Genomic DNA, 14,137 nt, shown 5'->3' on the forward strand with positions numbered 1-14,137 from the left:
TATGCAAACATTGTTTATGTTTAAAGGAGAATCTCTGAGGGTATTACAAATAAATCTGTAATAATGTAACACTTATTTTATTCCATGTTTTAATAAATTTACTTTTAACCTCAACAGCCTTGGTCACTATATTTCATGGAACATTTTCATATGTGAAAGCAAACTGCCTTACCAATGCATGCTTGCTTGGTAGGAGTCCTCTGGAATCCAGCATGACATTTACAATAATAGGAACCAGGTGTGTTAACACAATCTCCATTAGTGCAGGGATTTGATGTGCATTCATCAACATCTGTGAGCAGCAAAAGAAACCATTATAGACTTCACTCCATTTGTAGAAATGTTTGTTTAAAGTACATTTAGTCCTCTAAAGTTTGAGAGAAGGCCAGTCAGTGGTAATAGTCTAAATAGCGAAGTATTTATAAATGAATGAAAATTCCTCTCTTCAAATACACTCAGAGGCCAGTTTGAGGATTTACAAAAATATCACCTTTTAGAGAGTACCATGGGAATTTGCTTTAATCAAGAATTAAAGATTTTTCAGTTGGAATAATGGCCAATGATTAAAAGCATGTGCCCTGAAAAGAGAAATAGGCTATAATGCTTATTGCTTACACCAATGTGGGCAAGTTAATAACCTCTCTAAGGCTTAGTAAAGTGCCAGAAGAACAATGAAAGGATTCTGAAGATATATATTTATGTTACATGTTGTCACTGCTATTAGTTTTAAAGAAAGAGATTGATGGATTATGGAATGTCTTTGGTATAACTTTTTTTTGGTGAACTCATCTATGTATACAACTATATATACACTAAAGCTTGGATAATATTTTGAAGTAAAAAAACATGAGGGAGTAGAAAATGAAAACATTTAAACAAAGCCTATTTTTTTCAGCAGTTTCAAGTTTCTTTAGGATCTTAAAATTGGCACAGTGATTTGTTGCATAAAATGAAGTTTTATGCAAATACTAGTCGTGACCAAAAAGTGAGAAAGTCATGCTTTCCATTCAAGGTCTCCTAAAGCCTAATTAAATGCAAACCCATTGCAGGATTCAGGGGCTGAAAAACCAAATGACAGACTGAACAGTCTGGACTAGTTAAATCCCAGAGAAATCACGTGTGCCAGTATAAGAAGTTTAATTCATCTTCTCTCAGCAATGCCCACTAAATATTATTTTCAATCCTTGCAAATTAAAAACCTGGCTAGTTGGTAGAGGGCATAATGATTTGCCATTTCATATATGTGTAGAAGCCATTAACATATACCATTTCAGCTAAATTGGAGAACATAACAATAAAATCAGTTCACAGGTTTACCATTTTAATAAGCAGATTCCTACTTTCACAGATGTTCTTAAAAGAGGAACTGTACTGTATCAAACCCACCAACTTCATTTATGTAAACACTCAGACTGAATGCAATTAAGCCCCTTCTGGTAAAGGAAATAAACTTCATAGCAAATAAAATAAAAACAACAAAGAATAACAGGACTAAATCCTTTTCCATCCATCCAAGGACCCCTTCAGCCCATAAAGACTCACTTACATTTAAAGTTTTAGTTGATACCATCAATTCTACTGAGCCAAAGGAACGAAGCAAAATGAGAAAAGAGAGAGAGCATTAGCAAGCATATAAAGTATAATAAATAGACTTTCCAATATGAAATACCACCTTCAGTTCGCAGTGTTGAAGATCACTTCAATTTTGTGTTACATAATTGAAATGCAACAATTAAAAATGTGTTGTAGCTGTTATCTTTACAGCAGCCTCAACATAAAGCTCTGTTTGAAGAACATGAGAAACCACGCATCCACTCCCCTCTCTTTAGGTAAAGTTTCAGGAAAGCCACTTCTGCAGGACTGTTTTCTCCCCTGGAGAGTCTGCTCCTAAGGCTCCTTGTTACTATGGCAGCTCTGTCAGCTATTTTGCCACTACAACCACAATTCACTTCTGTCTCCTGAGCCCCTCAGGGACTCATCAAGGGTCTAGTACACAGAGAAGATGTAATCGTTCACTTAATTTTGGTCAAAACAATCACCAAAAAAGCAATTAGTGACTTTACAATTCCATATGACTTTAAAACCCATTTGTTGTTTTTCGTTTGTTTTCTGGGATTTTCAGTTTTAGACTAGTCACAAACGACCACTGCCAACTTCTACATGAACACTTCTGTCTCCTCTTTATTCTGAGTCTCACAGTCCTGGACCTCCAAGAGACCATGTTCGTTTTGTCTTGTTTACAGGAACAGAAAGTACTTAAATACTACGTTCTGTACATTTTGACTTCTTAGTATGTTTTCATTGGGGGGATGGGTATTTTTAAGCAAAATTCATGGGATTTAACCTCCTAAAATAAATTTTAAAATTATGGAGAATGTTGATTATCAAAATTGTTAATTTCTCAAATACTACTATATAGCTAAGAAATATTTTCCCTTGAAAAATACTTTATATGCCAACTTAGAAAAGGCTTTGTTTTTTGTTTGCAAGGGCTCGAGGATTACCTGTAGCCCAATAGAAATTTAAATTATTTTTTACTACTCCAAAATAGAGTGACTTGAATTAAAAACATTGCTAACAGCAGTTTGACTTATACAGACACTAGGAGAGTTACAAATTTTAATTTTAGAGTAGAATTCTCAAGAAAAAGAGAAAAATATAATGGGTAAATATAACTGTTTTCAGGCATCAGGAGCAATTCTCATAATAGCAAAATAGACCCAATTCTATTTTCTTTGTCACTGATCCTTTAATAAATCTATTGCCTTTCAAGTTATACTGCTTCATTAGGTATCTCATAAAAGTTCCCAAACAGCAATGGCAGTTTGTTATTCCTCAAAACATTAGCGCAGCTGACATAGTTACTAGTGTTATCTTGGGCTCTTATAATTTAAAGCACTAGTTAATTAATATCCTCTTCACTTTTTCTGATGTGTTGTTTATAAATTCAATTTGTTGTTTATAAATTCAAAGTGATCAAAAATTGAATTAGAGTATAGGATTAAAAATATTAAAACTCATTTTCTGAAAATGTGCTCCATTACTAAGCTAAGTCTCTATGAATTACAGTAGTCAGAAAGACAAGCCTGCTGCTGGGGCTTTAACTTTGCAGGGCTAAATGATGAGGTATATCTATCACTTAAAGAAGCACCAGGTGGTATCAGCTAAGCTAGGTAGGCTGCATATGGTTATATAGTGTACAACCCTAGGGCATACCACTTATATAGACTCTTTGAATGATACCCTTTAGGTTTGTACAGACAAAATTTGAGCTAAGCCTAATTTAATAACTCTGATCTTGTAGCCCTGTACCTAGTTTAGAATGATTGTTTTTTCCAAAACATCATATTTGGCCCACATTTTCTTTTATAATCATAGTGGACCTAAGACATTTTTGGCAAAATTATGATGCTAACTCTCTCTATACCTGGCCTCTCATCTATACTGTTTAATGGAAGACCTGAACTCAAATCTGTTATTTAGGGTTAAGCTAGTTAATGAAACACATGTGTGTTAATATTATGAATAAATAAAATAACCTCAAAATGACTCAATTACCATCCTAAAACCACTCTTCAAAGTTAATAAAACCCCCCAATTACCAAATCCAACAGATGTTTTTCCTCACTGCCTTTGATTTTTCTACTGCATTTAACACCTAACACTACTTTTCTCTTGAAAGTGTGCCCTTCCCTAACTTCAGGAACATAATTCTCCATATTATTTTGCTATCTCTCTAACACTATGAGCTAGAACGAGGTGCGTCTGAGTTGAGCTAGACTAAGGGCCTTCGATGTGTCTGTTCCATAAGATTCCAGCTGTAGTATTCCTGTTATCTTTTCACTTGTCCTGTTGTTCAGCTTGGGACACAGTATTCATCCTCATGGTTCTAAGAGCCACCTGTGTGTTGTTGACTCCTAAATCTGTAACTCTACCCCGGACATTCCTCTTAGCATTAGAGCTCTATAATTAAATACCCTAGACACCTAAAACTCAGCATGTCCAAGAAAGACTCAACAACTATTTCCTCCCAATCTGCACCTTCTTATACATGTTAACACCACCACTATATGTCCAGTTTTGCTCAGCCAGAAACTTGTGTATCATTGTAGTTTTCTACTCTTTGACTCCCCACAACTAATCTGTCATCAGATTCTATCGATTAACCTCCCAAGCACTTGTTGAATCATTAAGTTTTTCTGCAGTCCTACATCACTATTGTCATAATTTCTTGCCTAGACTTATATAAAAATTTACTAGCTGGCGTTTTTGTTCCCATTTTTTTCATTCCACAATCTTTGCACTAAGAAAATAGGGGACACTTCTGTTCCCAGCCAAGACAGATTTACCCTCCTTCCTCAAAACACAAACAAATGGACAAAGTATAAGAAATCATGGTTTTCAAGAAACTTGACATCAGGCAACAAAGAATATAGATCCCTAAGAGAAGGAAAACAAACACAGTGAATATCATAACTATTTCAGCTTATTGCTTTAAGAGGGTTTTCAGACCACGATGCAGACAGGGGGAACACTGGCAGGATGCAGCAAGCCCCTAAGTAGGTGAGTCAGAGCTGAGAGTCCAGAAACAGACCCAATATATACGAGCAAATGATTTTCAACAAGGTGCAAAGGCAATTCAATAGAGAGAAGACACTCTTTTCAACAAAGGGTGATGGTTATTAATATACTACAAAAAATAAACTTCATACAATATTAAAAAAAATGAATTCAAAATGGATCATAGGCCTAAAGCTAGATAACTTCTAGAAGCAAAAACTGAAGAAAACCCTTGTGACCTTACATTTGGCAAAGATTTCCTAGACACAACATCAAAAGCGTGATCCATAAAACAACAAATTTAATAAATAAAGCTTCGTCGGAATTAAAAATTACAGCACTTCAAAAGATATGTTACAAGAAGAAAAGGCAAGCCACAGGCTAGGAGAAAACATGTGTAAATCATATATTTGATAAGGACTTATATCCAGAGTAAACAAAGAACCCTCAAAACTCAATAAGAAAATAATTTTAAAATGGACCAAGATTTGAACTGACCCTTTACCAAAGAAGTGTCAGATCAAATAAACTCATGAAAAGATGGTCAACATCTTTTTATGTGAATCATTAGAGAAATGTAAATTAAAACCACAATGAGAAATCCCTGCCTACCTATTACAATGGCTAAAGTGTAAAAACCTGACTATACGAAGTGCTGGCTTGGTTATGGAGTAACTGATACTCTCATACACTGCTGCTAGAAATGTAAAATAGCACATTTTGGCAGTTTCTTAAATAATTAAATATATTCTTCTCACACAATCCAGCCACTCCACGCCTAGGTATATACTCAAAACTAAAATGCTTATACAAACACTTGTCCATGAATGTTCATAAGAGCTTTATTTGTGATACACAGAAACTGGAAACAAAATAAGTGCCCATCAACTTGGGAATATATAAATAAACTGTGCTATATCCATACAATAAAATATTATTCCACAACAAAAAGAAATAAATGATTTTTCCCACCACAACACAGAAGAATCACAGAATAATTATGCTGAGTAAAAGAAATCAGACAAAAGTCATATATGTAACAGTATGATTTCATTTATATAAAATTCTACACGATGCAAAGTAATGTACAGTGACTAATCAGGGATTGCCTGGGGACAGGATGGGGGCTGGGGATGGATGAAAGGAGGAGCAAGATGGAGAGATTACAAGGGACAAAAGTAAGCCTTATGAGGGTGATGGATATGTTCATTATCTGATTGTCGTCATGAGTTTATTGGTATACACATATCAAAACTTATCAAGCTATATACTTCAAATATATACAACTTATTGTATGTCAATTAAACCACAATAAAGCTAGTTTAAAAATCTGCACAATACTTCCATCATGATTAACTAAGAAAAAGATATGGTCTTGTCTTCTTGGGCTTACAGACTTTTAGGAGTCATGAACACCTATGATATAAGGTGTTGTGAACTCTGTGGCTGTTTTACAGCATATCTTTAAGAGCTTCATTTTCCTCCTTGTCTTTTAGAAATAAGTGCTTAGAATGCCTCTATTCTTCAACACAGGGTACATGGGCTGGGAAAACTGGAGAAAATATTCAAGTGGCACCTGGGGACCAAAAATCTACTTGGGAAAACCAAGGCTCTAGATGAAATTATAGTTGGATTTTTTCAGACATGGGCCCAAAGCTGGGAGTATTAATCCCAGCTTTGACTAGTATGTGCAAACATGGAGTACATCTTAGGATCATGACCAACTTCTTTAAGACTTTGAACTAAGCAAGCACAAATAGGGAGCCTAGACAGTACAAACAACTTTAATTCTCAAAATTTTTAGAACTCCATATGAAATGGGTTCTTTGGCTATCCCTCAATTGGCTCAGAACTCAGACATGGAGAAAGATATGTTTTACATATACACATATATTTTTCTTTCCAACTTTTATTTTACATTCAGGGAGTACAAGTGCAGGTTTATTACATGGGAAAATTGCATGTCACAGGGGTTTGTTGTAAAGATTATTTCATCACCCATGTAATAAGCCTAGTGCCTGATAGGTAGCTTTTCGATCCTCACCCTCCTCCCACCTTCCACTCTCAAGTAGGCCCTAGTGTCTCTTGTTCCCTTGTGTTCACATGTACTGAATGTTTAGCTACCACTTACAAATGAGAACATATGGTATTTGGTTTTCTGTGTCTGTGTTAATTCATTTAGGACAATGGCCTCCAGCTCCATCCATGTTGTTGCAAAGCACATGGTCTCATTCTTTTTCTTATGGCTACATAGTATTCCATGGTGTCTATGTACCACATTTTCTTTACTCAGTCCACCACTGATGGGCATTTAGGCTGTTTCCACATCTTTATATTGTGAACAGTGCTGTGATGAAAATATGTGTACATGTGTCTTTACGGTAGAACATTTTATATTCCTTTGGGTGTATACCCAGTATTGCTGGGTCGAATGGTAGCTCTGTTTTAAATTATTTGAGAAATCTCCAAACTGCTTTCCACAGTGGCTGAGCTAATTTACACCCCCACCAGCAGTGGATAAGCATTCCTTTCTTCACAACCTTACCAGCATCTACTTTTTAATAACAGCCATTTTGACTGGTATAATATGGTATCTCATTGTGGTTTTCATTTACATTTCTCTAATGAGAGGTGGTGCTGAGCATTTTTTCATATGCTTTTTGTCTGCATGTATGTCTTCTTTAGAGAAGTGTCTGCTCATGTCCTTTACCCATTATTTAATGAGATTTTTTTTTTGCTTGTTAAGTTACTTATAGATTCTGGATATTAGACCACTGTCAGAGGTGTAGTTTGCAAATATTTTCTCCTACTCTGTAGGTTGTTTACTCTGATACTTTCTTTTGATGTGCAGAAGCTCTTTAGTTTAATTGGGTCTCATTTGTCAATTTTTGTTTTTGTTGCAATTGCTTTTGGAATCATTGTCATAAAATCTTTGCCAGAGCCTATGTCCAAAATGGCATTTCCTAGGTTTTCGTCTAGAGTTTTTATAGTTTTAGGTTTTATATTTAAGTCTTTAATCAATCTTGAGTTAATTTTTGTATATGATGAAAAGAAGGGATTCAGTTTGAATCTTCTGCATATGACTAGCCAGCTATTGCAGCATCATTTATCGAATAGGGAGCCCTTTCTTTGTTGCTTGTTTTTGTTGACTTTGTCAGAGATCAAATGGTTGTAGGTGTGTGGCTTTATTTCTAGGTTCTCTAACCTGTTCCATTGGTCTATATCCCTGTTTTTGTACCAGTACTGTACTGTTTTGGTAGCTGTTGCCTTGTAGTATAGTTTAAAGTCAGGTAGTGTGATGCCTCTAGCTTCGTTCTTTTTGCTTAGGATTGCTTTGGCTATTCAGGCCATTTTTTTGGTTCCACATGAATTTTAAAATAGGTTTTTTTCTAATTCTGTAAATAATGTTGATACTTTGATAGGAATAGCTAGAATCTGTAAATTGCTTTGAGCACTATGGTCATTTTAATAATGTCGATTCTTCCTATCTATGAGCATGGAATGTTTTTCCATTTGTTTGTGTTGTCTCTGATTTCTTTGTCTCTGAAAGAAATCAGAGATAAAATCTCTAATAAAATACATTTATTGATTTGCATATGCTGAACTCACCTTGCATCCTAGGGATAAAGCTTACTTGATTGCGATGAATTAGCTTTTTGATGTGCTGCTGGATTCAGTTTTCTAGCATTTTGTTGAGGACTTTTACATCTATGTTCGTCAAGGATATTGGCCTAAAGTTTTCTCCTTTTTTATTGTATCTCTGCCAGGTGTTGGTATAAGAATAATTCAGGCTTCATAGAATGAGTTAGGAAGGAGTTCCTCCTCTTCAAATTTTTGGAATAGTTTCAATAGGAATGAAACCAGCTCTTCTTTATACATCTGGCGGAATTTGTCTGTGAATCCTTCTGGTCCCATGCTTTTTCTGGTTGGTAGGCTTTTCATTACAGATTCAATTTCAGAACTCATTTTTGGTCTGTTCAGGGATTCAATTTCTTCCTGGCTCAATCTTGGGAGATGTTATGTTTCCAGGAATTTATGATTTCTTCTAAGTTTTCTAGTTTGTGTGCACAGAGGTATTTTTAAGGTTTTCTAGTTTGTGTGCATAGAGGTGTCTCAGGATTTCTGTATTTCTTTGGGGTTGTTGGTAATGTCTCCTTTATCATTTCAGTTTGTGTTTATTTCCGTCTTCTCTCTTTTATTCTTTATTAGTCTAGATAGCAGGCTATCAATCTTATGTATTCTCTCAAAGACCCAACTTTAGGTTTCGTTGATGTTTTGAATGTTTTTTCACATCTCAACTTCATTCGGTTCAGCTCTGAATTTGGTTATTTCTTTTCTTCTGTTAGCTTTGGGGTTGGTTTGCTCTTATTTTTTTAGTTCCTCCAGGTGTGATGTTGTTAATTTGAGACCTTTCTAACTTTTTGATGTGGGATTTTAGTGCTATAAACTTTACTCTTAACACTGCTTTAGCTGTGTCCTACAGATTCTGTTATGTTGTATCTTTGCTTTTATTAGTTATTAAAATTTTATTATGCTGTGGTCTGAGAGTGTGGTTGGTATAATTTCATTTTTCTTGAATATACTAAGAATTGTTTATTGCCAAGTGTGTGGTTAATCTAGAGTATGTGCTATGTTACAGATGAGAAGAATGTATATTTTGTTGTTGTTGGGTGGACTGTTCTGTAGATATCTGTTGAGTCCATTTGGCCAAGTGTTGAATTTAAGTCTTGAATATCTTTGTTAGTTTCCTGCCTTGATGATCTGTCTAATACTGTCAGTGGGGTGTTAAAGCCTCTCACTATTATTGTGTTGTTATCTACAACTCTTTGTAGGTCTCTAAAAACTTGTTTTATGAATCTGGATGCTCCAGTGTTGGGTGCATGTATGTTTAGGATAGGGAAATCTTTTGTTGCACTGAACCTTTATTATTATGTAATGGCCTTCTTTGTCTTTTTTGATCATTGTTGGTTTAAAGTCTGTTTTGTCTTAAATTAGAATAGCAACTCCCACTGTTTTTGTTTTCCATTTGCTTGGTAGCTTTTTATCTATCCATTTACTTTGAGTCTATGGATGTCACTGCATGTGAGATGGGTCTCTTGAAGACAGCATATAGTTGAATCTTATTTCTTTATCTATCTTGCCACCCTGTGCCTTTTCAGTGGGGCATTTAGCCCGTTCATTTTCAAGGATAATATTGGTATGTGCTGATTTGATCCTGCCATTGCATTTAGGAGGTTGTTATACAGATTTAATTGTGTAGTTGCTTTACAGTGTCAATGGTCTATGTACTTAAGTTTGTTTTTGTGGTGGCTGGTAACAGTCTTTCATTTCTATGTTTAACACTCCCTCAAGGACCTCTTGGTAAGGCAGGTCTGGTGGCAAATTCCTTCAGCATTTGCTTGTCTGAAAAATATTTTATTTCCCCTTCACGTATGAAGCTTGTTTGGCTGAATATAAAATTCTTGGTTGGGATTTCTTTTCTTTAAGAATGCTGAATATAGGCACCCAAACTCTTCTGGCTTGTAGGGTTCCTGCTGAAAGGTCCACTGTTATCCTGATGGGGTTCCTTTTGTAGGTGACCTGCTCCTTCTCTTTAGTTGCCTTTAAAATTTTTTTATTTCTTGTTAACCTTGGAGAATCTGATGATTGTATGTCTTGAAGTTTGTCATCTTGTACAGTATTTCACAGGGGTACTCCAGACTTCCTGAATTTGAATATTGCCTTCTCTAGCAAGGTTGGATAATTTTTCGTGGGCAATATCTTCAAATATGTTTTCCAAGTTGCTTGCTCTTTCTACCTCTGTTTCAGGGATGCCAATGAGTTGTAAGTTTGGTTTCTTCACATAATCTCATATTTCTCAGGGGTTTTGTTCAATCTTTCTAATTATTTTTTATTTTCATCTGACTGAGTTGATTTAAAGAACAGTCTTTGAGCTCTGAGATTCTTTCCTCACCTTGAACTATTTTGCTGTTAATATTTCTGATTGTATTATGAAATTCTTGTAGTGAGTTTTTCAGCTCTATCAGATCAGTTTGCTTCTTAAGAACATGCCAGTGGTGATGGGGTGATGAGGCCTATGTGCATGTGTGCCAGCAGAGCAATGGGGGAAGGCTGTGGGCAAGTGCATGCCAGCAAAGTTGTGGGGAGAGGCTGCAGGTGGGAGAATGCTGGCAGAGGCCCATCTGCTGAAGTTCTCCAATGGTTAGGCAGGGTTTGCTGGCAAAGGAGCTATGGTGGTGACACCTGGGAAGAGCCCCAGATGGGCATCTGAGGCTGTGCTCCAAGTGGACACAGCCATGCAGGGACACTGGCAGAGGCCGGCAGATGGGGGACACTCAGATCAGACTGGCCTTGTCCCATGGGCAAGACTGCTCTGCTCTGTCCAGGTCCAACAGTCAACCAAGGCCAAAGCCCCCTAAAGGAGGATGTCAAGCCCTGGGGTATGGGCATCGTAGCCACTCTGGTGCCAAACCCTCTGGGCTCTGCACAGGCTGGAGTCCTGTCCCTGCCCCCTATCCAAGCAGCTCTCCCATGTCTCAAATGTCCATGGAGGTTGTAAGATCTTCTGCAGGTAGGATTCCAGAGACCCCTGCAAAGAGTGGGCCACTCCTCAACTATTTAATTCACTTCTCAGGGTCAGGAACAAGTCCTGGCACTTGGCAGCCCCATGAAGGCTTCCCAGCTTCCTCCTACTTCAGTCCAGGGTCTGTGTGCTCCTTCCATACATTCTTAATGCCTTCCTTCTGAAGATCCTCTCAGAGTGTGCCAGTCTTCTTGATGGTCTGATCTTTCAGTAGGAAATGCTCTTCCTGGCTGTGTCTACTGAGCCATCTTGGCCTTTCTCTATGGAGTTTTTTTTTTAACTCCATGCGGAAATCCCTTATCCTTCACAGACACTAATGTAACCCCTAACTACTGCAGATCCTGCTGCTAGATTGGATATTCCTGATGGTCTCTTCTTTCACCACGTTGCTAGCATACAGATCACAGTTACTGAGCACAAATCAATTTAAATGGCATTTAAGGAATGAAAACTTTCAAGTCTACCACTACTAACTCTCTCACTGTTAAACTTTTTGTATATGACCTACAAGAAAGTTGGGGACTCTTTATAGCAGCTGTTCTCAAGGTGTGGCCTCTGGGAGACCATTGAGATCCTTTCAGAGTGAGTTTGATTCAAAACTATTTTCACAATCATATTAAGATGCTATTTACTTTTTTTTTTTAATCATGTTAACATTTTCTCTGATGGCACAAGAGCAATGATAGTTGCTTAGCACAGGTTAAGGCAATGGCACCAAACTGTCCTACCAGTCAATACAATGAACTCACAGGGTATTTGAAAAAGACATTTTCACTTAAGAATATAATTGGTGAAGCCACAAAATTAATAATAATCTTGGCCCTTGAATATACATTTTTAAAATACTTCTGTGACAAAATGTACATTACACATTGTTGCTGACTGAAGCACCACGAGTGCCTGTCTCAAGGAAAAGTTTCTGCGTAGTTGTTTTGAGTTGTGCACTCCATTAGCAGCTTTTTCTGCAGAATACTATTTTTACTTGAAGAATGACTGACAAATTATAGTTATTCAGAGTTATTAATCTGGCAGACATTTTCTTGAAAATAATGCAGTGAGCCTGTCACTTTAAGAAAAGGAACAGACTGTATATTTGATGCTAATGTTAACATTCAAGCTTAAAAATGACAGAATTCAGAAAGATTATTTAACACTGTATGCTTGATTGTTTCTCAGCAATTTGAAGGCATTTTTATGAGTTTGATGGTGATATTCTCAAATATGATTTTTTGATAGTACATAGTAAAATATTTCAACTTTGGAAAGATGTGCATAATACAGTGCATCAATATATTTCAAATGACCAATGCATGTTACAAAATCCACTCAAAGCATTAGACAAACCAATGGACTTTATGTAACAGAGTACAAAAAGTGTACTAATATGGTTTCAGATTCTACATGGTTAACTAAACTTTAAGAATTACTCCTTGTAAGTTTTGGTGGAATATCAAAGAATAACCTCAATTATCTGAAAGTCTATGCAATATTCCTCTTCTTTTCCATCTATGTATCTGCTTGAGGATAGATTTTCATTCCTCAACAAAACAGAACAAAACAAAACAAAACATCACCAAACCTTAAATAGAGAAGCAGCTATGAGAATCCAGCTGGCTTCTATTAAGGCAGACATTAAAAAGGTTTGCAAAAATGTAAAACAACGACACTTGTTTCCACACATTGTTTTCAAAAATGTAGTTTTTCATAAAAATGTTACTTATGTCAACATGCAATGGATTCATTGTTGTTATTTTTGAATAAATCAATAAATGTCTTAATATTTTCATCTTTAATTTCTAATTAGGTAATTATCAAAGTAGAGATAACCAATGATTTTAAGAGTTGAAATGAGTCTGAGACCGACATATTTGAAAACTACTGCCCTGACATATCAGATTTTAGTCCATTGGTGTCTTGTCATCTTTTAAAGATGGATTCATGCTTGACGAATTGTTTTTAAAATATATTCATTGTTACATAGATTCCTTTTTATTTTTAGTTTATATTAAGAGTAAGCATTTCTAAGGAGAATGGAAAGGGAGAGTCAGAGACAGAAATCACAATATTTAGGACTTGAAAGGGTAGGAAATTCTTAAAGTGATCTAGCTCAGCATAGGTTAAGGGGGCACACTGAATAGCATACACACAGAAGAGACAGTTTGGAAATTAGCTGTATTTCAAAAGACTTAAAAAAATCATATTCATTCCAATTTGATCCTGTAATCTAATAGCTACTAAAAAAACTAAGAAGGATTATTAAAGAATCACAAACTTACCTATACAATCTCCATTTGCATCCTGCTTATAACCCATGTTGCATTCACATCGGTAGCTTGAGACAGTTGGTATACAGCGTCCATTTAAACAAAGGTTAGCATGATGCTTACAGATATCTATTGTCTGGTTCAGAATTGCTACGGAAAATTAAAGCACAATTATATTTAATCATTACAACATGCATTACTTTTCTGAATTGATTTTTAAAGGACATTTAATAGTAAATTAATTAGATGTATATCAGAAGCTCATATTTTATATTTTATTAAAACTTTAATGTGGAGAATCTAAAAAATATTACTGAGACACATGGTTGCAACTTGTATCTGTTAAGTTACAGATCTGAAAATGCTGCCCTTAATCATGTCTTTTTAAAATTACAGGAATGTTCTACCATACGTTTGAGTGCTTTCCGTTTCTCCTTTGTAACTCTGCTGAATATTCAGATATAGTAAATCGGCAATATGCCAAAAAGAATAAACATAACACTGTAGGACATCTTTAAATATTATTAGCAAGAGAGGGCTTTTAAAAAGAATGAAGTTAAATGTCAAGCACACAAATGCCAACTCTGGTCTGAAGCCCACGGTTTTCAATTTCTTAAGCAATTTAACAAAAAAGGGTGAGGAAAGGAAAGATATGTACGTTACAATATTTGGATCTGCACAGAGCAAGATATTCAGTTTATCTCAGTGGAGAAATGGTTCTGGAAAATAA

General features: G+C 35.8%; 1 protein-coding gene across 2 annotated transcripts in view; it reads right to left on the bottom strand.

Annotated features, from left to right (window-relative positions):
* The window catches only part of FBN2 (fibrillin 2), a 280,337-nt gene that overhangs the window by 120,690 nt on the left and 145,510 nt on the right, over positions 1-14,137 (bottom strand). For both annotated transcript variants that reach the window (XM_017009228.3, NM_001999.4), the window contains 2 exons: positions 13,420-13,557; positions 173-292 (listed from right to left, as the gene is read on the bottom strand). In XM_017009228.3, coding sequence (XP_016864717.1) covers positions 173-292; positions 13,420-13,557 — 258 coding nt within the window. The remainder of the gene's footprint in view (positions 1-172; positions 293-13,419; positions 13,558-14,137) is intronic.

This window comes from Homo sapiens, chromosome 5 (genome assembly GCF_000001405.40).
Source record: "Homo sapiens chromosome 5, GRCh38.p14 Primary Assembly".
NCBI classification, from domain to species: Eukaryota; Metazoa; Chordata; class Mammalia; order Primates; family Hominidae; genus Homo; species Homo sapiens.